General features: G+C 37.1%; 1 protein-coding gene across 5 annotated transcripts, besides 1 other annotated feature; it reads right to left on the bottom strand.

Moving 5' to 3' along the window:
* On the bottom strand, positions 11729-23524 carry ENPP5 (ectonucleotide pyrophosphatase/phosphodiesterase family member 5). 5 transcript variants are annotated; one of them, XM_011514786.4, is made up of 5 exons: positions 23488-23524; positions 22597-22658; positions 19978-20841; positions 17931-18107; positions 11729-14297 (listed from the first exon to the last, which is right to left on the bottom strand). In XM_011514786.4, exons 3-5 carry the CDS (start codon positions 20804-20806, stop codon positions 13870-13872), a joined length of 1434 nt encoding a protein of 477 aa, XP_011513088.1. In that variant the 5' UTR covers positions 20807-20841; positions 22597-22658; positions 23488-23524; the 3' UTR covers positions 11729-13869. The 5 variants fall into 5 exon arrangements, with proteins under 5 accessions (XP_011513088.1, NP_001277001.1, XP_005249317.1 ...); NM_001290072.2 differs by having other exon boundaries at positions 23352-23524; XM_005249260.5 differs by lacking the exon at positions 22597-22658.
* Positions 23696-23755: a silencer, noted in NCBI's record as "silent region_17269". NCBI's record gives its function as "represses an Ori minimal core promoter by ATAC-STARR-seq in GM12878 lymphoblastoid cells {active_cell/tissue: GM12878}" and the evidence as "EXISTENCE:reporter gene assay evidence [ECO:0000049][PMID:35858748]".

The following is a 26521-nucleotide window of genomic DNA, read 5'->3' on the forward strand; positions in this document are numbered from 1 at the left end:
ATCTGGGCTCTGGAGTCCTGTAACAGACATGCTGATCACAACATATATGTGTATGTGTGTATGTAAGTATATGTGTAAGTGTATATATATATGTATGTGTGTGTGTATACTATACATATATGTATGTATATACTAATATATATATGTACAGGCACATGTGTGTATAGTTCTATATTCTTATGTAATAACTATGTGTATATGTTGAAATGACTAGATCCTCTGACTCCTGTCCCATGGTCAAAATTACCTGGGAGGTAAATGCAGAGTCTATACCTAAAGAGTAAGCCAAACTGCTATGCAGGCTTTCTGTGTCCACGTATCTTTTTTTTATCCTTTTGACCTCTGAAATCTCATTTCCACCGTCAATACACAACCTGGTGAGCTCTTCCACTGACAGCTCCATGATGATGATTTACAGACATGTGTCTCCAGTCTAGACCTTCCTCTTCTGTTAAAGATACAAATTGCTATTAATTTAATCAGCATTACATTCATATCAACCATGCTCAATCTCACTTTCGTAGGCGAGTGGTGGAAAGGAGCAATAGAAATTAACCCCAAAACAAATCTAGAAAATTTCACTATATAAATAACCATTTTATAAAGGGGCTTCTATAGGTTAGACAGAGTACTATTGATTTACAAAATGTTTGAAATATCCACTGAGGAGAGTGAATATGTTTTTTACACTCGAAATTTCTGTGAAGATTCTCCCTCACTCCCCCTTTTTTTGTAATCTTAAAAAGACATGTTGGGTTCTGTATCCAGTAATGGTAGACTGTGTAATTCAAACCAGTGCTCTTACTGAGGACTAGAAAATCTGGACAAATAAAAGATTTGTGCTTATGCATTGAGGAATTTCCAGAAAGTGAAGAATGAAGAGGCTAGGATTTAGAAGGAAAAAAAAAACCCAATAAACATGAGTCCCTAATGGCATCTATGAATTGTGGAAGAGGCAGCTGAAAGGCTGAGAAGCTAACCTAATCAGAAGAGACTAGGAGCGGGTGATTGAAGGAGAGAAGGCACAGATGTAAATATATCTATTAAAATCATGCATCTGCACTATTTGGCACAAATTTGAAAATATAAATGAATAATTTCCTAGGAAAAAAATTATTGGATAAAACTGACTCCAGTAAAGAAAGAGAAAACAAAAACATACCAGTTTCTGTATTTAGGAAAAGGTTGAGGCAGTTATAGTGTATAAAAAAGTATCAGGCCTCAAAGACAATAATCCTTTTTTTTTAGTGACTCTGTCAGGCTTGGATATCAGTTTATATTTGCCTCAAAAAACTAACATTTTAGAAAATGAAGTATATTATTTTTAAGGTGAATAAAACTGATACTGAACTTGAAAAAATAGCACACAAAAAAACTATGGACCAATCTTGAATGAAAGAAACATTTTTCAAAAATGAAAATTAAACCACATCTGTAATTAGATGTAAATAGACTGAACATTCCAGTGAAAAGGCAGAGATTATCAAAGTAGATGAAAAAGCAATATCCAACTACATGTAGTCTACAAGAGAATCACTTTAAATACAAAGACACAAATTGAATTTTAAAAAAGGATAGAAAATAACATGCCATGGAAACTGTATTAGTCCATTATCACTCTGCTAATAAAGACATACCTGGGACTGGGTAATTTATACAAGAAAGAGGTTTAATTGACTCACAGTTCCACAAGGCTGAGGAGGCCTCAGGAAACTTACAATCATGGCGGAAGGGGAAGCAAATATGTCCTCTTCACATGGTGGCAGTAAGGAGAAGTGCAGAGCAAAGCAGCGAAAAACCCTTATAAAACCATCAGATCTGATGAGAACTCACTATCACGAGAACAGCATGGAGGTAACTGCCCCCATGATTCAATTACCTCCCACCAGATCCCTTCCACAACATGTGGGAATTGTGGGAACTACAATTCAAGATGAGATTTGGGTGCAGACACAGCAAAACCATATCAGAAACTAACCATAATAAATATATACATATTGATATCAGAAAAAGTAGTCTTCAAGACAATAATTTTCAGGAACAGAGAGATTTCATTAATGTACAAGGACCAATATGTAAGGAAAGCATGACAATTCTAAAAGTGTTCATACCTAAAAACAGCTTAAAAACACATTAATCAAAAACTGATGGAACTAAAGAGAATTCGTAAACATAATTGAAGAATTTAGCACTCCTCTCTAAGTCGTTGATACACCAACCACACCAAGAAAAAAAGACAATAAAGATACAGAAGACTTGAGTGATTTTATTAACCACCTTGACTTAAATGAGATTTAGAGGAGATTACAGCTCCAAACTGCAAAATATATTATTTTTATAAGTATACATTGAAGAATTACCAAGTTTGGCCATACACAGGACCAGAAAACAAGTCTCAGTAAATAATCTCAAAGAACTGCAATTTTACAAAGTATGTTTTCTGACCACAATGGAACGAGGGTCAATAACAATACAATTCAGAAAATCCTTAAATATTTGGAAATTAAACAATACAATACACTTCTAAATAACTTATGAGAAAAATAAAAATAAGGCAAATAAAATATTTGGAAATGAATGATCATAAATATGTAGCACTAAAATCTATAGTATGCAACTAAAGCATTAGAGGAAAATTTGCAGCTTTGAATGCCTATCTTAAGAGAGGCTGAAGGGTTCAGAATCAATGATTACAGCCTTCGCTTTAGGAAAACAGTAAAAGGAGGAAATAATCCAAAGTCAGTGGGAGGAAGGATATAATAAAAATAAGATCCAAATTAATGAAATCGTGAAGAGAAAAAATAATAAAGTGAAAATTTATTTTTTAAAAACATACTAGTAAAATTGGTAAGATGACCTAAGAAAAAAGGGAGATAGCAGAAACTGGCAATATCAGTAATAACAGAAGCGCCATCACTGCAGATCCTACATATGTCAAAAAGATAATACAGAATATTATGCCAATGGATTTGACAATTTACATAATAATGGATAAATTCACCGAAAAATGCAACTTACCAAACAAATAAAAAATGTGAATAGCTTTATATCTATCAGACATTAATTTATAAAAAAATCCTTATAAAGAAAACTTCAAGTCCAGGTGTTTCACTGATTAGTTCATCACACATTTGATGAAGAAATGATACCAGTTTTACATAAATTCTTATGGAAAATAGAAGACGAAGGAACACGTTTTATTTATTTGTTTGTTTGTTTATTTATTTATTTATTTATTTATTTATTTATTTATTTGACAGAGTCTCTCTCTGTCACCAGGCTAGAGTGCATTGGTGCGATCTCGGCTCACTGCTACCTCCGCCTTCCCGTTTCAAGCAATTCTCCTGCTTCAGCCTCCTGAGTAGCTGGAACTACAGGCACGTGCCACCACGCCCAGCTAATTTTTGTATTTTTAGTGGAGACGGGGTTTCACCATGTTGGCCAGGATGGTCTCCATCTCCTGACGTCGTGATCTGCCCACCTCGGCCTGCCAAAGTGCTGGGATTACAGGTGTGAGCCACCTCGCCCAGCCAACATATTCTTTTTATAAGGCCAGTATAACACTGGTACAAAAACGTGAAAAAATATATTAAAAGACCAGTATTCTTATGAACAAAAATACTTAACTAAATATTATCTAATTGAATTCAGTGGTAATTCAAAAGGATAATGCACATGAATAAGTGGAGTTTACTACAGGGCACAGAATTGTTTTGATCATTGAAAATCAATCAATGTTATGCTGTATACTAATAGAAAAAAAGGAACACATTATCAAGTCAATGAATGTGGAAAAGTATTTGGCAAAATTCAACACCTATTTATTAGTTGAACAAACTGATTAAATTTGGAATAGAAGGAAACTTCCACCAGCTGATGAATGCCATCTATTAAAAAAAAACAAAAACAAAGCCAAAGCTAATATACTGAATGATGAAATAGCAAATGTTCCTCTCCTGGGATCAGGAACAGGGCAAGGATGTCCACTCTCACCACTTATATTTAACATTGTACTGCAGGTCCTAGCAAGTGCAATAAGGAAAGCAAAAGAAGTAAGTATTGGAAAATAAAACTCATATTCACAAATGCATGATAGTATACATAAGAAATCCAACAATCTACAGATAAACTCTGAGTTTAAAAAATGGCTAGATATCAGGTCAATATACAAAAATCAAGTGTATTCCTATATCTCAGCAGAAAACAATTAGAAAAGGAAAATTTTAAACTCATATTATTTACATTGCTATCAATAAGCATGGAATATTTGGGAATAAGTCTAACAAAATACATGCAGAATCTTTGCACAGAAAATTATAAAGGAGTTAAGGGAGACCAAAATAAATAGAGGGCTATATCATGTTTGTAGGTTGGAAGGTTAAATATTATAAAGATGGCAATTCTTCCCAAACTGATAATTGCATCCAAGTAATTTCAGCAGGGTTTTATTTGTTTTTTTATGGAACTGCAGAAGCTGACTGTAAAATTTGTGTAGAAATGCGAAGAGCCAAGACAATTTTGAAAAAAATAAAATGGTAGGACATACTCTATCAGGTGTCAGGAATAATTCTAAAAATATAATAAGAGAGTATAGTATTGACCCAAGGATTAAAAAATAGATAAACAGAATTAATCACCTTTGTTAAAATCAAGAATCCATACATCTGTGGGTGTATTAGACTTCTCTTGTATACCCTCAAACGCAGTCAATATACTCTTACTCCAGTTTTATTTTGGCTTTGGCTAGCTTCCCACAGATGCAACCTGACAATGCTTAGCCTCTTTCTTCTTGGCCCAGACATGACTGGCCTGAACACTAAAGTGGTGAGTGCCTCTAAGATCATACTTGGCACTTGGGCATGCACTTTTCAAGAAATATAGGGAGTTGATGCCCATGGGGCCATGTAAAAGTACAATGAGAAGGCAGCTGTCTGCAACCCAGGAAGAGAGCCCTCACCAGGAAACAAATCTGCTGGAATCTTAATCTTGGACTGTCCAGTCTCCTGGAACTGTGCGAAATAAACGTCTATTGTTTAAGCCATATTTGGTATTTTGTTACGGCAACCACAGCTAATATAATAAATAGTTCCAATACCATAAGAATCTCTTGCGTTGCTGTTTTATAATCACCTTCCATTTCAAATTTTGTCATTTAAAAAATAGTACATAAATGGAATTTTACAGTATGTAACTCTTTAGCATTGGTTTTTCCACCCAGCATAATTCCCTGGAGATCCATCCAAGTTGGTACACATATCAATAGGTTGTTCTTTTTTATTGCCAAGTAATAGTCCACGATGTGTTTGTAGGACAGTTTGTTTAACCACTCAACAAACTGAAAGATATTTGGGATGATTCTAGTGTTGGCCATTACAAATAAAGCTGCTCTGAATGTATGTTTACAGTTTTTTTTGTGTGTGAACATATGTTTTCATTTTTTTGGTATAAATATGAGTACAAATGCTGGGTCACATGTTTACTTTTATAAGAAACTGTCAAACTGTTTTTCAGAGTGGCTGTACCATGTACATTCTCAGCAGCAATATATGAGTGGTCCAGTTTCTCTGCATCATTGCCAGCATTTGATGTTATCATTGTTTTATATTTTAGCCTTTCTGATAGGAATATAGTGACATTTCATTGTGGTTTTACTTTGCATTACAGAATGGCTAATGATGTTGACATCTTTTCAAGAGCTTATTTGCTACCGTATATACCCTCTTTGGTGTAATGTCTCTTTATGTCTTTTGCCTATTTTTGAATTGGATTGTTTGTATTTTACTCTTGAGTTGTGAAGAACTATTTATGTATATCCTATATACTAGTCTTTTGTAGGATATGTGGTTTGCAAGTACTTCCTCTGTAGCTTATCTTTTTAGCCTCTTCTCATGGATTTTCACAGAACAACAAAAAAAAGCTAATTTTGATGAGGCCCAGTTTACCAATTTTTCCTTTTATGGGTTGTGCTTTTGGTGACAAGCCAAAGAACTCTGTCTTGCTCTAGGTTTTGAAGATTTTCTCCTATATTTTTTTCTAAAATTTTGTTTTTCATTTAAGTCCATGATACATTTTTAATTATATTTTATATAAAGTGTGGGGTTTAGGTCAAGGTTCAGGGTTTTTGTTGTTGTTGTTTAAAAGGCTGTCCTTTCTCCATTGATTTGCTTTTTAACCTTTGTCAAAAATCAGTTGGGACTATTTATGGGGACTATTTATGGGCATTTCAGGTTTGTCTATTCTGTTCCATTTATCTACGTGTCTGTCTCTCTGCCAACACCATACTGTCTTGATTACTGTATCTACACAATAGGACTTAATATCAGGTAGAATGATTCTTCTAGCTATATTATTTTTCAGTTTTGTTTTACCTATTGTAGGGCTTGTGTGTTCCCATATTAATTTTAGAATAAGTTCGTTTATGTCTACCAAAAAGAAAAGATTTTCAGGGATTTTGAATAATAGGAATTGCGGTAAATCTATAGATCAATTTGGGGAGTTGGCACTTTTACTATGTTATCTTCCAACTTTTGCACATGGTATGTCTCATTATTTATTGAAAACTTCTTCGATTTGAAGGCTTTTTGATTTATTTTGTCAGTATTTGGTAATTTTCAGGATTCTGTACCCATTTTGTTAAGTTTATAACTAAGTATTTTATTTTTTTTGGAGTGAATGTAATGGTATTACATTTCTAATTTCAGTTTCCATATATTCATTGTTCATATATAAAAATTGACTGATCTTTATGTGTTTATCTTGTGTCTTCAGACCTTGCTGTTAGTTCTAAGAGTTTCTGTTTTGTTTTTTAGATTCTTTGGGATTTTCTGCAAAGGCATGTCGCCTGGAAATAGGGATTGTTTTATTTCTTTTTATCACGATGTATGCGTTTTTTTTTCCTGCTAGAAAGAACTTCAGTAGCTAGAACTTCCGGTACTATGTTAAATACGAGTGATGATAGCAGACATCCTTCACCCATTCCCAATCTTAAAGAGAAAGCATTCAGTCTTTCACCATTAACTAAGATGTTAGTTGCAGTTTTTTAAAAAAGATGTTATTTATCAAGTTGAGATAGTTTCCTTTCCTAACTTGCTAAGAGGTTTTTTTTTTCTTTCTTTAAAAAACGAAAAAAAAATACCTTAGTATTGGATCTTTTCAAGTGCTTTTTCTCCATAGATTGATATGATCATATATTTTTCTTTAGCTTGTTGGAGCTTTTTAATAATGAATTCAATTTATTTATTGTGTGTAAGGCTATTCAGATTGTTTCATCTTGGTTGAGGTTTAGTAGCTTGTGGTTTTCAAGTTTAAGTTGTTGAATTTATGAGGTAAACTTGTTCCTAATAGTTCTCCATTACCTTTTAATATCAGCATGGATAGCCTCTATTTCATTTCTGATATTGTGATTGTGGCTGTTTTTTTGTCAGTCTTGCTATATAGGTTTATCAATATTACTAATTTTTTAAAGTAGTAGATTTTTGTTTTATTAATTTTCTCTACTGTTTTTCTAATTTCAATTTCATTGGTTTCTATTGTTATGTTTATTATTTTCTTCCTTTTGCTTCCTTTAACTTGCTCTTCTTTTCTAGTCCCTTGAGGTATGAACTAAGGTTGTTGATTTAAGACCTTTCCTCATTTTATGTAAGCCGTTAGTGCTATAAACTTCCCTCTCAGTACTGCTTTCGATTCAAATCTTATATTTTGATATTATATATTGTGTTTTCATTAAATTCTATGTAGTTTTAAATTTTTCCTTTGAGACTTTCCTTTTGACCCAGGAATTATTTTTAAATATGTTGTTTAGTTCCCATGGGTTTAGAGATTTTCCTGTTATCTTTCAGTTGTTGATTTCTAGTTTGACTCCCCTGTGGTCAGAAAACACAATTGGTATGATTTCAATTCTGTTAAATTTGTTGAGGGTTGTTTATGACCCAGGATATAGTGAATGGACCTATGGTGGTGAATATTTTATGAGTGCTTGAGAAAAATGTTTATCCTAGTGTGTATTTTTGTCAGTTATGCTGTTGTTTGATCGAGTACTCTCTATATGTTGTTGGTTGTGTTGTAGAGATCTTCTATATTCTTTCTGATTCTCTGTCTAGATATTCTAGAAGTTATTGAGAGGAGGGTGTTGAATCCCAATTAAATTGTTATTTATCTGTTTTTCCTTTCAGTCCTATCAGTCTTTTTTCTTCATATATTTTAAGATTCTGCTGTTTAGGATTTATAATATTTAGGATTGTTATGTATTCCTGATGAAATATTATATATTATATAAATTTATCATTATTCCTTTTATCATCATGTAAAATCCTCTTTATAGTAATCCTTTCTACTCTAAAGTCTATTTTGTCAGATATTAACATAGCCATTCTTGCTTTTCAAAAATTAATATTTGTTTACATTGGTATTGTATAGGGGAAGAAAAGAAAAATTAATGTTTGCATAGTACAACTTTTCCCACCCTTTTACTTTTGACCTACTGTGTCTTGAATTTGAAGTTCTTTTATTGTAACCACATATAGTAGAGTCAGTTTTTTTGGTCCATTCTGTCAATCTCTGTCTTTTGAGATTCATGTATTTAGATAACTTACATTTAAGGTAATTATTGGTATGTTAATTCTGCCATTTTATTATCTGTTTTCTAGGATTTCCCCTGGTTCTCATTTCTGCTTCTCTTCTTTTGCCTTCCTGTGGGTTATGTTAAAATTTTTAATTCCTTATTGATTTATTTGTAGTGTTTTTGAGTGTGTCTCTTTGTATAGTTTTTCTGGTGGCTGGTCTGAGTGTTATAATATGCATTTGTGATTTATAACTGTCTACTGGTATCTGCATTTTACCACTTTGAATGAAGTGTGGAAACCTCACTTCCATTTAGGTCCCATTAACTTCCATGCTTCTAAATATTGGCATGAATATCAGGTGGCATTATAATTGCTTCAAACATCAAATATGGTTTATTACACTCATGAGAAAAAGGATAGTCTATTGTATGTACTCAAGTGTCTGCTGTTCTCATTTTTCCATCTTCCTTACTGACACTCTAAGATTCTTTTTTTATTACCATTTCCTTTATGTCTGAAGAACATTCTTTACCTATCTTTAAAAGTGGGTCTTCTGCTAGCAGCCACTTCTTTTAATTTCTCTAGTTCAGAGAATGATTTTATTTCCCCTTCATTCTTTAGGATAGTTTCATGGTATACAGAATTTATGAAAGTCACTTCTTTTTTAAGCACTTGAGAAATACTGTGCCATTGCCTCTGGCCTCCATGATTTCAGGTAAGAATCTGCTGTCATCAGACTTGGTGTTCTATAAGTAATGCATTGCTTCTCTTTGGCTACTTTCAAGATTTTTCTTTTAAGTTGTTGAGTGGGGGGCCCTTTTTAACAAGTTTACCTACAATGTACCTAGGTGTGGATTTATTTGGGTTTATTCTGTTTGGGCATTCACTCAGCTTCTTGGATCTGTAGATTTGTGTCTAGTCAAGTTGGAGAAGTTTTTAGTCATTATTTTGTCAAGTAGTCTTTCAGCCTCCCCTTTTACAACCCTGGTGATATGGAAGTTGGATTTTTTTCTTATTGTCCCACAGATCACTGAGACTTGTTAATGTTTTGTGAATTCTAGTGTTCTGTACTTAAGTTCACTGATTCTATCCTGTACCAATTCCATTGTACTATTGAGCCTATGTAGTTTTTTTAAATGCCACTATATTTTCAGTTTTATAATTTCCATTTAAAAAATAGCTTTTATTTCTTTGCTGAGATTTTTTACCTTTCATTTTAAAGAGGATTTGTGTTGATCATTGAAGTATTTTTATGACAACTGTTTTACAATTCTTCTTGTATGATCCCAACATATGAATCACTTTGGTGCTGGTGTCAATTTTTTTTTTCTCATTGTAGTTGTGATTTTCTGGGTTTTAGGTATAACAGGTAATTTTCAGTTGTATCCTGGATATCTTATATATTATGTAATAAGATGATGAGTTCCCTTTACATTTTTTATTTTAGCAGAAAGTCACACAGTTTAGGTTTAGCATGTAGATCTTGTCCTACTTTTGTGGGCTGTGATTCCAATGGCAGCTTAATTTTCACAGCCTTTGGAGTGCTATTGGATTATGGTCTGCTTGGATTGTGTGGTGCTGCTGGAATTCCCACTTGTCTCTGCTGGTCCTGCCTGAGGAAAGCAGAAGGGTTTTCCCCAGGCCAGCTGCCAGGTATCTCTTGGTAGGGAAATGGTGTAGTGGGATTCCTTTATTGGTGCGCCTTGCACATTGCAAAGTCTCTGGGTAGAGGAGGAGAGTCTCAGGGCATGGGAACAAAGAGGTTCCCCAGACTGTCTGCTGTAGCTTGGTCTCTTTTGCAGATTTTGTTTGTCCACCTCTATGACTCAGTGGAAGAGTGTTTCAGTGGTGGGAAGGAGAATGCTCCTCTTGGCTGCTCTTTAATGGGACTCCCAATCAATATTCCTAGTTGGAGGGTTATGGCAATTCCCCTTGCTGATGACATGGGCTGCCCTGATGTTACCAGAGATTCTTCTTTGATCCAGGGGAGGAATAAACCTCCCTGGGCTGCTGTCTTGGTAGGTGGGGGTTAAGAAATGCAGGCTCTGTGTGGCCTCCTTCTGTTAGGTGAGAAACACGTGAAGCCCTGCCGCTGTGCTGTTTTTCCAGCCCAGGTTCCCTAATCAGCTCTCAGCCTTATTACCACCCTTCAGAGTCTCTTGCACCATTTCCAGGCTCTATAATTATGCTTAGTGTGGAGGAACAAGGAAAAGCAGGACCATGCTATCCTGTCCTGATTGGAAGTCAAAATGCATTTTAAAACGTCTTTTTAAAAAGAATCAAATTGCCCACAAGGTTATGAGGAATTACCAGGGTGACATTCAGAGAAGACTGAAATCCTGAAAGAGTCTAGCATTCAGGACTATTTTGTCCTGGGGCATTGCCCTTGGGCATTGGCCAGTCTGAAAGAAAGCCATAAGCCTTGTGTAGCTGACTGTTAAAAGTTGGACCAGAGAGCCTGCCAAGGGTGGGAACATCGGTTAACCACCTCCTGCTAGGGGTAGGATCTCAAAGGGCTACCTTAGGAAGAACCGGAAGTAAACCAACTTAGACTGCAGCTTGACTTTGAGTATAAACTCAGTCATGGAACCTGGGTCCTGCCTCCAGCTCTGGCACTAATATGTCATGCAAATTTCACAGCTTTGCAAGAGCTTTTGTTAAATCAAGGGTTGAATGATCCCTTAGAGCTTTCCCAACTCTATGATTATCAAGTATGTTTTTCAGCTAACGAAAAACAGAAAAAAAAAATGTGAGAACTAGAAGAGCTGGGGTCTTTCATTAGATTTTCTAGAAATAAGAGGTTCTTGTAAGAAACTAAGACTAATAATAGGATACTTACAAGATCACAGGGCATTTTGAAAAGCAATTTAAACTTAAACTGCAGGTGATGGAGAAGAAATTGTAAAATACAAACTGAATTTTAAAAAATCCTAACAATTAATAAACTTTACAAAATGGCTCATGTAGGAGGATGTTGAGAAAAGATGGGGGCACAGAGAGAAGCTCCATTCCTCTGACCTTTCTAAAATTCTTACAATTAGTAAGATTAGCTAGTCTTTTATTTCCATGTACTAATTTGAGTTCACTGCATACAAAGCTTGACCATGAAGACATGCAGGTAAGACAAAACAACAACAAAAAGATGTCAATGATGATAAGTGATGTGATTTTCCCAGAAAAGTTAAAAGTTTTATTTTTCTTCAGGTAAACTCTCCTATTTTACAGGAAAATAAGTATCTGTAAGTAAACCATCTGATAATCAAATATTTATATATGAATTTACTTTCTTACTACTAATGTAATAGCACCTTCTAAAATGAATTTAATGCAATTATTAATTTAAATGGACAGATAGCATAATAGTAATGCTCTAAAATGGACCAATTTCACCTTCCAGTCATTATGCTGACATTTCAATAATACAGGGTAAGTTCATAGCTACAAAGCAAGCCAACATGAGTGCTCATGTATTCTGAGATGTCTAATCCAGAGTTCATACTTCTGGGGAGTTTGCTACCTACCATATACTTTCTCAGCTTTTTAATCTATAGGCCATTTCCAATTATTTGATTCTATTCTATTAAGAGGTTTTATAATGAAATGGGAATTATGTGCCAACATTCCTTATTGGTATTATCATTTTAAAAAATAAGACATTCACCAAATTTTAGGAAGCACTTAAATTTGGTTAAATTTTTAACTATGTCACTTTAGTTCTTCACATCCCATTTGTCCTTTCTTTCTGGAATAGTAATACAATTTTACCTACTCATTAGCCAATTGGTACATATATATACATGAAATCACAGTACTATCCATGTGTCTGTAAAATGCTATTTTCTTCAAGGAAAGTCTTTCTTTTCAGGGCTTCCTCTTTCCTCTAAGAAGCCACATGTAATACTATGCCTCTCCCAAACTTCTTGATTACTTAGAAATCTAAAGCACAGCCTTAGGTTGTTGGAATGGAAAAGACTGAGATGACCAGGCAGGTCAAAAGTACTACCTTGGAAGTAGAAGTCTATTTGTGAACTTGGATTCATCTTTGATTCCACTGAGCACCTGGTAGGTGGGTATTCACATATTTCTTGAAACAGAGCTATATCATCTCGGCTCCCGTGTTTTGATACCTGTTACCACAAAGAGTTATTTTGCTGCTTTTTCTAGTATGCACACTTTACCACTGTTCTGGGTGTCTTGTAAACATCTCACATGTGGTCCTAATTTTTTTTTCCAGGCTCCACACAGTTCTTTTCAAGGATCGAGTGGCCAATATTTTACCTAATATGGTTTGTGCTCTTTCGCAACTTTGAATCTTCAAATGCTCAAATCTAAAAGATGCTTGTGCTCTGTTATTATGCGCTACCAGAAAGAAAACATTGTTTTATCCAATTTGATTTTTAATGTAATTAATAGTGATTTAATTTTCAAAGGAGCAAATAATTACAAACAAGAGAAAACATTGCTGAGATGGTGCCTGGTTGCTTCTATTCAGGCCATTGCTGAACTATATAGAAAAAAAGTATATTCATGGTGTCTTCATTATTATGAAAATCACAGTAATATGACTCATCAGGAAATCACAATAATTTTATGACAGAAACAATATATTTAGAACGAATCTGTCAGTATTTGACTCTCTTTTGAGGGAAAAATAAATGAAAACCACGTTCTCTGGAAAGAAATAAGACAAGAAATGCCCACAGTTGCATTCTGCTGTTGGGAATACATCTCCAAAATTCAAGGTTCAAAGGTTATCACATTTAATTTTCAACACTTATCACCTTCTTCTTCTCTCAATTTATGGAGATAGATTTCTACGTTCATTATTCGGGATTATTAGAAATTTCCTTCAGTTTGAACAATGCGTAACAAGTATTCTGTGACATGGGTGCAAAAAGTTGTCATTTTCAATCAAGTTATAAGACATAACTGTGCATAAAGTGCATTTCAAATTAAAGTACCCATCAGGAGAGAAATTTAAAGTGCAATACATAAGGTACTTTACATAGTGCAAAGTTGCTAAATATATACATTATCTGCGCCAAGTCCAAATAAAGCAGGATCTTATCTATCCCTATGCTACAGTGAACAATGGAGACATACTCTCACATCTTTATTCCTTTGCAGGTGTAAGTATTTTGGTCCGTGTGTGTGTATGTGTGTGTGTGTGTGTGTGTATACCTAAATATGTAACTGCTTAATGGTTTCTGCAAATGTTTGGAACTGGTTTCCCAGAATTTGAAACCTTTAAACACTGACATAATTATGGAATCTCCACTTCAATATGCAAATCCACTTCAAAGTAACATTAGGCTTGTAATAATGGTTGAGCTATTTCAGCATGCATATCTTGTAAGGCAGGTATTTGACTGTGAATTAAATGCTTAATGAAAATTACAAAAAATACAATCACTATAATGCTGCCAAGAGAGACCCCTATGAAATAAGGGTATGACCCCTCTTGGTCATATTCTGCTGGTTTAACACTACCAGGGAGGAGTATAGTACTCTGTGTATAAGGGACCACCCTTGGCATTGCTGAATTGAGCAGATCCTGGACATTCCAGAATGATCCATTGTGTGGCATGGCGGTGATATTGAGGAGGTGGCATAGTAGTGGGTACAAATCTGTGGAGTTCATGGCTTCTTTTGAGAAATTCTTTCTGAAGGCAGGACCATGGGCTAAAAATATTGGATGCATATCTGCTAACGCATTATCGTAACCGTGGTTGCCTACTGTAAAGAGAAAATATGTGAAAAAGTTAGCCAACTATGCATTAAAATGGACATAATTGTTGTATGGTCAAATTCTGAACTTAAATGCACATCTTATCTAGTTTGACTGTAAACATAAAACAATCTTTGACAAACAATCTCTGCTGTTGTCCACATCACAATTCTCTTCAGGAATTGAAGAGTCAAATGGTTGTGAATCTTTCTTACAGGCCAACAGTGGCTTAAGCAGCAGGGGAAGAAGGGTAAAGAACAAAGCAGAGCCAAGTTAGGGAAAAATTAGAGTTTTTGTTTGTTTGTTTGTTTTGTTTTTGTTTTTTACTGGTGGCAAAGTAATATTCAGCAAATACTTATGGGGTACCTACTATGTTCCAATTATTATTCTAAAGATAAAGAGATAAAGGTGCTCTTAGTCTTAATCTGAAGCCAATAAACTCATAGTTACCAATAAAAGGGAAAATACGATACATAAAGAAAAGCAAAAGAAACCATAAAAATCAAACCTGTACTTACAGCTATAATCTACTACTAAAAAACAAAGGTCAGAGTGGAGGAGAGTAGGAAACTCCTGATTTTGGTAGCTCTAATCAGGATCCAACTTAGCATTATGTGCTTTTAGTGTGGCTACAAATAAGGTAAAAACTTGGGGGTCTTCTGACACATGTGTCAAGTGACATAAAATGGATACGAAATTGATAATAGCTGGATTTCAAAGTCATGTGTGCTTAGCATGGTATCAAGGTACAAGGCAAAGGAGCTACTGCTGATAAGATGGCACCCAAGCAAAACTGACAGGCTTTATCTTAAAGGTGGCAAGGAGAATGACTAGTAAATCCATCTCTAATACTTATACTTGCTTCAGGGAACTATGCAATAGGAACGCTCCCTGCCCCATCCACCTCGAAAAAATCCTAAATCAGTTTTTCGAAAAGTCATAAACTGACCCCTAGTCATTTCAAAGTAATTTGAAATCTACCAGGAAAAGCGTATCTAAAGAAGTCATTCTAGATGCCATGATTCTTTTAGGTTTATTTAAGTAAAAATAGCACTGAAATTATGAATCACTAGTAATTATCTGACAGGGTACTATGCTATTTCATTAATTGATAGTCGCACTGGGAATATATCATTATATACTTTGTAATTGACTGGATGATTGCTGTGTTCATTTCTATGAGAAGTTGGGACCTAGACTCTCACTCATGAAGGCAAAGATAATTATCTTATATCACACTTCTTACTAGAAATTCAGACTTAAAATTAAGTCATTGTGACTTATGTAAAAGCTTTCCTATGAATAGGGACTTTGTTTTGTAGTGGTAGCCCCGATCATAAATGCTTGATCAAGTAGATGGTATTTATAAAGTATGCCTAAGGGCAATGGTTCTCAAACTTTTGTGTGTTTCACCAGGGCCTCACAGTTTCAAATTCAGTAGGTCTGTTTTGGGCCCAATAATTTGCATTTCTTTTTTTTTTTTATTATACTTTAAGTTTTAGGGTACATGTGCACATTATGCAGGTTAGTTACATATATATACATGTGCCATGCTGGTGCGCTGCACCCACTAACTCGTCATCTAGCATTAGGTATATCTCCCAATGCTATCCCTCCCCCCTCCCCCCACCCCACAACAGTCCCCAGAGTGTGATATTCCCCTTCCTGTGTCCATGTGATCTCATTGTTCAATTCCCACCTATGAGTGAGAATATGCAGTGTTTGGTTTTTTGTTCTTGCGATAGTTTACTGAGAATGATGATTTCCAATTTCATCCATGTCCTTTGTAGGGCATGTATACCCAGTAATGGGATGGCTGAGTCAAATGGTATTTCCAGTTCTAGATCCCTGAGGAATCGCCACACTGACTTCCACAATGGTTGAACTAGTTTACAGTCCCACCAACAGTGTAAAAGTGTTCCTATTTCTCCACATCCTCTCCAGCACCTGTTGTTTCCTGACTTTTTAATGATTGCAATTCTAACTGGTGTGAGATGGTATCTCATTGTGGTTTTGATTTGCACTTCTCTGATGGCCAGTGATGATGAGCATTTTTTCATGTGTTTTTTTGACAAACCTGAGAAAAACAAGAAATGGGGAAAGGATTCCCTATTTAATAAATGGTGATGGGAAAACTGGCTAGCCATATGTAGAAAGCTGAAACTGGATCCCTTCCTTACACCTTATACAAAAATCAATTCAAGATGGATTAAAGACTTAAACGCTAGACCTAAAACCATAAAAACCCTAGAAGAAAACCTAGGCATTACCATTCAGGACATAGGCATGGACAAGGACTTCATGTCTAAAACACCAAAAGCAATGGCAACAAAAGCCAAAATTGACAAATGGGATCTAATTAAACTAAAGAGCTTCTGCACAGCAAAAGAAACTACCATCAGAGTGAACAGGCAACCTATAAAATGGGAGAAAATTTTCGCAACCTACTCATCTGACAAAGGGCTAATATCCAGAATCTACAATGAACGCAAACAAATTTACAAGAAAAAAACAAACAACCCCATCAAAAAGTGGGCGAAGGACATGAACAGACACTTCTCAAAAGAAGACATTTATGCAGCCAATAATTTGCATTTCTAACAAGCTCTCAGCTGATGTGGATGCTGGTGGGCCAGGGAACACACTTTGAGAGCCACTGCTTTGGGGCATTAGGGCTTAACTATTCTGGCTTAGGTATACAGTGGTCAATCTTTAATTAATTATTGAATCATTAAACATAATATAAATTGAGTATTATTAAGGTTTTCTATCAAAAATAGAGGTGACCAATCTATTGTGTAACTGTAGTTCAGCAAACCATTTCTAGAGGGCCCTTTGAATTTATATTAACTTTAAAATACAAATCTTGCCAAAGATAGCAGTCCTTTGTTGAGCAAGCCCTCTAACATAAGAGCTACCTGCACAAGACATAAAAATATGAACATTGGTTTATGGATCATTATCTGTATGTAAAAACTGTTTATTTTTTTTTTTTTGCTTTTTTTTTTTTTGAGACAGAGTCTTGCTCTGTCGCCCAGGCTGGAGTGCAGTGGCACGATCTCGGCTCACTGCAAGCTCCGCCTCCCAGGTTCACGCCATTCTCCTGCCTCAGCCTCCCGAGTAGCTGGGACTACAGGCGCCCACCACCATGCCAGGCTAATTTTTTGTATTTTTTTAGTAGAGACGGGGTTTCACCCTGTTAGCCAGGATGGTCTCGATCTCCTGACCTCGTGATCCACCCGCCTCAGCCTCCCAAAGTGCTGGGATTACAGGCGAGAGCCACCGCACCTGGCCAAAAACCGTTTTAAGAACCAGAAACCATGTATCTGTATACATCTGCCACTATGAGTCACGAGCACACTACAAATGCCATTGTTCAGGCATCTGCTTTTCTTTTAATCAATAAACATGATAGAAACCCAATTCTACCTAAAGGGACATTTTGTATATATCTTTTACATATCAAGGACCAATATCTAAAAAAAGCATTTTTAGATAAGTACGAAAACATTGTAGTTCCTTAATATTCAAGTAACAGACAGTAAAAATATCAATCAATAAACTGCTGTATTATGTATTTAAACTGTTGTATTTTAGCAAAAAGTAATGCAGAATGGAAAGAAATACTGTAACATACTCACACAGAAAGTCATCTGACTTATTCTGTAAAATGTGCCACCCTTCATCAGCCACTGCTATGATTGGTTGAATTCGACTGTTGTATTTGTAATGCCACCTTTCTGGAACGTCTTCTTTTTTGTAAACAGTAAGATTAGGATGAGCGTGAGTTAGTGCTTCATAGACTTCATCAAATTTACCTAAAGAGAAGGGAGGAGAGGCACTCAGAACAAAATACTCATAGCTACCATCAGCCATGGGCAACAGACTTGCTACGGAGGTGAAAAACCAGAGAGCTGAACATAAGAAAAAATTCTTTTTCCCCTTGGGGAAAACAATTTTGGGAGGGGAAACTAGGAAATAATCTTCTGTTGTAAGTTCACCTTATAGAATTAAGGAAGGGCATTTTATAGAACCAGAAACCTCTAAAGACTTCAATACACACACATATTAATTAGTGACACTATGTAAAATGTCTAGGGTACTGCAATACCCAAATAAAAATGGCTAGGTTCTGGTAGTTGTGAGTGCAGACACGAAGAATCTCCAGACAAGAAAACATGGTGAGGGGTGGGTGAGGGCTGGGAAAAGAGGCTGGAGGTGGAAAGCAGTTTGTAAAATGGAAACATCTGAAAACACTGGAGGTGTTGCCAAAGTACTCCCTATAACTACAAATGCGGTTACCCAGGCACTGTCTTTCATCCTCCTGTTTTTCAAATCCATTGCTGAGGTTGCATCCTTATCTTCTGCACCGCAACAAGAGGACATCATTCCAATTTTATAAAGGAAATCGAAGGGTTAATGTAATTTTCTCCCCTTCCATTTCCTCTTCCCTTCCCTCTTCCCTTCCTCCTTCCCTCCCTCCTCTCTCTCTCTTTCACCCCCTTCTCTTCCCTCCCTCTCTCTCTCTCTTTCCCCCTCAGTCTCTCTTTTTCTTTCTTTTTTTTCTTTCGACTGTGTCTCCCTGTCGCCCAAGGAGGAGTGCAGTGATATGATCATAGCTCACTGTAACCTAGAACTCCTGGGCTCAAGCAACCCTTCCACCTCAGCCTGGGACACAGGCATGTGTCACCACACCAGGCTATTTTTTTTTTTTTTTTTTTTAGCAACAGAGTCTTGCTATGTTGCCCAGGCTGGCCTCAAACTCCTGGCCTCAAGTGACCCTGCTGCCTCAGCCTCCCAAAGTGCTGAGATTATAGGCGTGAGCAACCACTCCTAGCTAATTTTCTTAAACCAGAAAAAAAGTGCTGTTTGCTGAAAACTGTGTGTGTAAAACACACACATATTTTAACATTCGCTGTTTCATATGATTCTAATTCCCCTCTGAGGGATGGAATTCTCATTTGTGAAATATTATAGCTTTTCAAAATCTGTTCTCTCATTTGATACCTAAGACCAACCCTGCAAAGTGATAAAATATGTCAAAGAGCATGTCTGAGTCATGTTGTCACTTATTTTGTGACCTCAGGATGTTAAACCTTTTGAGGTCACTTACCTGTCATTTACTTCTCTTTAAAATGGAGACAATACTGAGGTGACAGGTTTGGTATAAGGATTCCAGGAGAGGTTTGTAAAAAGTTTAAGGTATTGTTATTACTTTCCACATTTATAAGGAAAATAAACCTCAGATTGACCAAAGCTCTTTCTCCTTCTTATCTTCCACAGCTTCCTTGTTAAGCAGGTCCAAATTAGGAACCTATAAAAGGCTTTGGGGCTTCTATGAAATAACTGTACATGCATTCAAGTTTTGTATGTATCTTTCCATCTCAATTTTTCTGAGAAGGGAGGCTATAGCTTTCATAATATTCTATGGATCCAAAATGGTTAAAACCTACTGCCATACATACATAGAGCACATCAATTTCAGTATTCTAGGAAAAAGGAAAAAAAAATTAGGCTTTGAAAAAAGAGATTTTGTCTTTTCAGAGTCTGAGGATTAAATCCCAGAATATTACCATGACACAGGCAAAGTCTACTTTAAAGGCGCAGCAACAGAAATCCCTGTTCATTTGATCACACTGGGCAAATGCACATCTAGTCTCAGCTCACCATTCATTCAGTCAGCCTTACCTTCTTTTGGCAAGATGGCTGCTACTGGAGATTGATCAATCAGGGTATAGTGGTCTTTATCCAGGTACTGGTCAAGTTCTATTAACCTTTCCTCAGAGCACTGCGTCATTCCATGATCACTTGTGATGATTAGGTTCAGAGTGTTCCACAACTTTGCCTTTTTCAGCATTTGTATGAGATATCCTAACTTCTTGTCAATATCTGAAATGACAGGCCCCATGAGCGGACTGTCAGGTCCCAAATGGTGGCCCATGTCATCAGGGTCTTCCCAATAGAGAAGACCAAGATTTATGGGCTCTTTTGACGTAAACCATTCAATAATTTTGGCAACTCTATCTTCAAATGAAACTGACTCATTGTAAGGCATGTAATGAGTAGGAAAGCGCTTATGTATTTTTACATCTGTTCCGGGCCACATGGCTGCACCACTAGTATGTCCTGCCCTCTGGTTTGTGATCCATATTGGTGTCGCTTCTTCCCAAAACTTGGAATCATAAATATTCATGTGATCCAAGGAGAAAGATTTGTTCCGAATAGGATCAAACATATCATTTGCAACAATCCCATGATTCTCTGCAAAGAGGCCAGTTACCAAAGTATAATGGTTAGGGTAGGTTTTTGTAATAAAAACATTAGTAACTTGCTTCACGTGAACACCATATTTCATAATATAATGAAAATGGGGCGTTGGAACTTTATATAAGTAATCCCAACGGAATCCATCAAAAGAAACTAGTAGAACCTTTTGCTGGTCTGGTTGGAGAGAAAAGGTGGTTGAAAGACTCAGTGCAGCAAGTATGAAGGACACCAAGAGAAATTTCGAAGTCATTTTCAAAGTACTTGATCAGTTCAGTGTAAGATAATCTGTAGAATAAACATATAGAAATTAAAGGCAATAATTTTGTTTTGTATACTTTACCCCAAACTCAGAGTAACAGTGCTTAGCAATCCTAGTTATATTCATAAATCACAGCCTGGAAGAATTATGTCACAGAACTCCGTATTAGATAAGAGACCTGGGGCTAAATGAATAATAAAGCTAATAAGTTTAGCTGCATTTAAACAACTTTTTCACTTCTGAGAATTTATCTAAATATCCCTCAAAGGAATTATTTAAGTGAGCTCTTCAACAGCATTTTAAAATATGACATCATTTACATAAAACTTTTAGAAACATTTTCAGGTTGATCCAGACTTTTGACTTCTGGTCAGAAACTTTTTTATAGTCAAATACCTGTGAACATCCTTAACATTATGGCTAGAGCAACTATGGCAACCTAGCAACAATGAAGTATCATTAGCAAATCGAATAATGGTGCATATACATATATATTATATATATATGTATATGCACACTTCTATTTTCAACCCCTATGTTTGGTTAATCACAGACAAAAGATGTATTACTAAAGAGAGAGGAAAATAGATGAATTTGGTTTCTTGAAGTGAAATAACATTTGTGACATCCAGATATATTTATTGAAAAGTAATCTGCATTCATTTATTAATAATCAAATCACAGCATTCGTTGAACTAAATAATTAGATTCTAAACTAAATATTAACAGAAATATAATTCTGAAATTTGTTGTTGACTTTCCTAATGTTAAAATTTGTCAAAATTTAATCTTATCATTGATAGGTGTAGTAAAAGCACTTCCCTGGTTTAAAGCTCTGTGAATCAAGGTTGCTGGTCTTTTCCCCTAATCTGTGTATATTTCTAAAATACTTTCATTCTATTGAAGAAAGCTAATAAGACGCTGTATGGATAAACAATAGATATGTAAATTTTGTCAGTTTTCATCAGGCGTGCACATCCAGCAGGGATCTTTTGTTCTCTCATTTTTCTACCCATTCCTGCATGAAGGTATTTATAAACCCACCAAAACTTAGATCAAACCACACTTGTACAAATAAATCTCTTGAAACTGCCTTTTGATATCTTCCTAAGCTGAAGACTTCTTTTTTTTTTTTTTTTGAGAGGGAGTCTCACTCTGTTGCCCAAGCTGGTGTGCGGTGGCACGATCTCAGCTTACTGCAACTTCCGCCTTCCGTGTTCAAGCAATTCTCCTGCCTCAGTCTCCCAAGTAGCTGGGACTACAGGCGCCCGCCACCACACCCAGCTAATTTTTGTATTTTCAGTAGAGACAGGGTTTCGCCATGTTGGCCAGCCTGGTCTCAAAACTGCTGACCTCAGGTGATTCACCCTTCTCGGCTCCCCAAAGTGCTGGGATTACAGGCATGAGCCACCGCAGCCGGCCTGAAGACATTTTTAAACTTCAAAAATATATCCTGTTTCACCTTGCTGTATTATAGGTACAGGTAAATAAAAACTACTTGGCATGCTTGCTTTGCTTTCAGAAATACAAGGTATATGTACATTGTGGGTATTCGCTGAGGGCAATAAATTCTGTTTTGCTGGTTTTAAACTGTGTTTTCACCATACCTAGACATTTCTTAAACTGAAATTGTTTTAGGTATTGGTCTCAAGATGATAGCTCAAATGTCATATTTAAAAACGATTTCTTGGATGGCAATACTCTCTCTGATTCTGGAAGGAACATTAAACACAGTTGCAGCAAGGAATAGCAAATAGGTTACTGCAAATATATTTACTCACCTATCTGGCTATGGATGGTAGTTGCTCTCTCTGTCCTTTCTCCCCCTAATTTTCTCTCCCACCTTTTTAAAACAAGGAAGGCTAGTATCAACCAAATGTAATTTAAGGCTAAAAGCAGAGGAAATAAACTACATGGAACACCTCATTTTCATCTATCTTAGCAAATTAATTCGGCACATGTGTAAGCAGGAGAAAACTGCTTTCTTGGGACCAACAAAAGTAAGCAAAGATTAAGTGTTGTCTAAAGCTTAGGAATGTTTGGCAAGAAGACTCAACATCACATCCATGACACAGAGCAATAAACAGAGGTGGGGGGTGGGGAATGAAAACAATCAGAATTTTTTTTTTTTTCGTGCACAAAATGCTGCACAAAACAGTGGAATCCCTGGATCTGGCTCCACATTTCATTGAGTACTTTCCAGTTCTTTCTCCCCTCCAACCCTTCCTCCACAAACAGACTTGGAGAGCAGGAAGGACGGGGCACCGATTAAACGGAAGAGGGAAAGTGCAGAAGGAGTAGGTTTGTGTAGCTCGGGTAGACGTCAAGGGCGGGGGTGTCCATCTTCTCCACCAGGATTCCATCCTAGCCACCCAGAATGGTCGCGGCGTAGGTTATGTTCCCAATTCCCAGTCATCCCGCCCACCGAGGCCTGGGCTTCTTAGATGTGCAGTGGCAAGGAGGGGACGTTGCTTTAGGGACCCAGAGGAGCAGTGTGGGTTCCCGGGAGGGAAGCCACCCACGCCCCTGGACTCACCCTCGCAGCGATCCGTTCAGTCCGTATTAGTTTGGAGCAACGGGAGGGAGGGTCTGGAGGAGACTCCCTCGGGCGCGCCGCGGGTAACGGCGGGAGGGTGACTGGAGGAACGCCCCCGGAACGCGCAGGAGCTCACCTGCGCTCAACTCTGGAGCGGAGCACCTGACCGCGCCGCTTCCCCGCCCCGCCTCCTGGCTTCTATTGGCTGCTGCAGAGATAGTCACTTCTGCCTGGGTTGCCCCCGAAAGCCAGGCTCCCAGGAGTAGCTGCACGGCCTGTCAATCAGCGGGGGCAGGGGCGGGCGCTGCCTGGGTTTGGAGGGTGGAGGGGGAGGGGACTCCCGGGGGCAGGGACCCATCTGGTAGGGCGAAGGCGTGGGATGGCCAATTGCTTGGTCACACACAAAACCTTCCGGCAACGTGCCTTTTCCAGGGGACCAGCTGTGCTGGAGTCAGTGATGCTGAGAGATTATTGCGTGTTACCCCAATGGTGGGTGTACTCTAACAGTCACTGTTTTTTGTTTAAAAGCGACTTGTATTCTCTGATTTCTTATCCCAGGCTTTTTTCCTTCCCCCGCCCCCCGCCCCCTGCCTTGTCACGAATTGGCGATGGGGCACACCATGGGCTTTGCTCTGAGGAACACCTGCACACCCGAGGATGCCAATGGGACGATGAAGTTTCATTCTTTTTATTAGTGGGTGTTATCTGCTTTACCTCAGAAAGAATTTATTAACCTAGTCAACTCTGCAGCCCCAACGTTTGCAGTCCAGGTTTTTGCAATTGAGGTCCCTGAGGTATATTTGTGGTGTACCTAGCATGGCACCTGAAATTGTGCGAATTAAACCAAGACAGGTTCAGAATTAGGTTAATTTGCACAGGAGAGAGGCTGAACAGCCACCCTCTCTGGTGGTGGCATCCGAGCTCCAGACTCTGTTTCTACCTTTGTTTGCAAAGTAAACATTAAAACTACAAACATCAGGCCTGATTACTCTTTCAGAAAGCCTTCAGTGCTTCTTGTGTGTTAGTGCCCCTATTTTGTCTTTTTCCGTACTGTAGTGGATTATTTTCTCAGTTTTTTTGGGATAATCAATGGCATTTTTAGGCCTGAGGGAGTGTAGGCAGGTACTTAGTTTGCCAGTATGATCCCAACTGTCTTTACCATAAATTATAGCAGTGATATCAAACTACCCTGAAAGAATTTGTCCATCTACACAATCCCAGCTAGAATTCTGACCTAATTAGAATTCTAGTTCTATCTGCAGTAGGCAATAATATCAGGTTGATTGTTACAATGTAAGTTTAACATCTAATTAGCTGGTAAAACTGGGAGCATATCTGCAATGGTGGTTTTGGCTCCTGCCCGGAGCTCGGATCCCTTGTCTGGTGTGCTGGAGCTTTAAAGTGAATAGAGATATCTGTTGATATTTAATTAAGCCATGCAAACATTTTGGTCATAGCTTTTTCTCTGTCTGCTTCTAATAGAGGGACAATCTCAACCCCAAACATTGTTACCTCCTAACTGGGTCATCCCATCCCGAAGGGCATCTGGGCACTCTTCCATGGCCTTTTATTCGTGGTAACTTGAGTTTATGGTTTTCAACACGTGGGATGGGGATTAAGAGGGAGGCTGGTTTCTATGTTTAGTGAGACCCAAACACAATGAAGTTGAACAAGTTGTTCCAATTCCCCAAAGCCCTGTCCTTTGAAATTGCCCAAACTTGGAACAGAGTGGTCCAATCTTGTAAGTCCTTGTCCCCCAGAATAGGTCAACTCTGTGCTCTCCCAAAACACTCAAAGGACAATGTACGCTTATCAGAGAGCAGGAGTGGTGAAAATGGGCCTGACTTTTGTTCGGATCACTGAACATTGTTGGACTCTGTTTGGATGACAACCTGCTTTGCTCTGCAAATTTTATGGAAGTTATGATTATATTCACCAGCTATTCCTGTGAAATAGGCATGGTACAGCTGGTAACCACAGTGCACAACACAGAAAAGTGCTCATAAGACTGCCAGATTCCTCCCAGAAGTCCATATAATGATATCTAATGTTCACCTGATAGGCTTGCTATTACCTTATGTTGTTCATGGGGAGAAAGTCTGGTTTACATAGTATAGAGGAATGAATGTAAAACATGAGATTCCTGCTCCCACATCTGCACCTGCCCTCCTGTCTTATTGTTGCCTCAGTATCTGTCTATTTGCAATAGGTTTTCAGAAAGTTTTAGCAGCAGAAACCACAACCTGCTATTGACTGTAACTATTCTTTTATTCTCTGTTATTAAATTAGTGGAATTCTAATTGAATAATAGTGTAACAGAATAACCAACTTCTTTCTTTCAAAGGTTTTGGGGTCAGGTGGGGAGGGAGATCCCTCTGCCTCCCCAAGGAAGTCTAATACAGGTTGAGAGAGGGACAATTTTCTTCGTCAGGGGCTGGAAGAGCTTTGTGCTAAAACTGAAAAGGGATCTGTTCTTTAAGAAACAACCAGAACTGGCTCTACCACAGAAGTCTTGTTTTTCAGAACTAGACTTCATGATAGGAAAAATAAACACATAATTTTACAATTAAAAAATTTTAAAGGTGCATTCCAGTACATTATACCACAAATGACTAAACTAAAAGAAAGTTCATCTTTTAATCCTTTGTAGAACATTCTGCAAAATGTGGGTCTCACATATTCAATGGCCATAGATAGGAACCACTGGGATTCTGCTTCTGCACTGCTCTTAATTCATGATAAACAGTGGTCTTCACTAATCTTGACTCATTAGCAGAAGTTCAGTCCAATGAGTGAAATGTTGAATTATAGAATAGTCAAAAACTTAGCCCAAGAATTTTTATGCATATTAATAAATTAGGCTTCTAGTGATATGCTTGAACTAATTAGAATGAATTTTGTAGAAGCAATTATTATGCTTTTATCCTCAGAAAGCTTTATATAAGTCAAATATAAACCTATTTGTATTGTTGTATTCTGTAAATTGTATTCATAGTGTTTTAGTTCTAGGACTGCCTTAACAAATTATCACAAACTGGGTGACTTACGACAAACAGAAATGTATTCTCACATAGTTCTGGAGGTCAGAAGTCTGAAATCAAGATGTATTCAGGGCCATGCTCTCTCCGAGACTCTGAGAAGAATCCTTGCTTGGCCCTAACAGCTGCTGG

This window comes from Homo sapiens, chromosome 6 (assembly GCF_000001405.40).
Source record: "Homo sapiens chromosome 6, GRCh38.p14 Primary Assembly".
In the NCBI taxonomy this organism is placed as follows: domain Eukaryota; kingdom Metazoa; phylum Chordata; class Mammalia; order Primates; family Hominidae; genus Homo; species Homo sapiens.

Excerpts from the sequence above, each read along its gene's own strand:
- ENPP5 (XM_005249260.5), bottom strand. The coding sequence starts at position 20,806 with ATGACTTCGAAATTTCTCTTGGTGTCCTTCATACTTGCTGCACTGAGT. Across the intron at positions 18,108-19,977 it reads AGCCATCTTGCCAAAAGAAG|GTAAATTTGATGAAGTCTAT; the intron begins GTAAGGCTGACT and ends CCTTCTCTTTAG. Across the intron at positions 14,298-17,930 it reads TAAGTCAGATGACTTTCTGT|TAGGCAACCACGGTTACGAT; the intron begins GTGAGTATGTTA and ends TTCTCTTTACAG.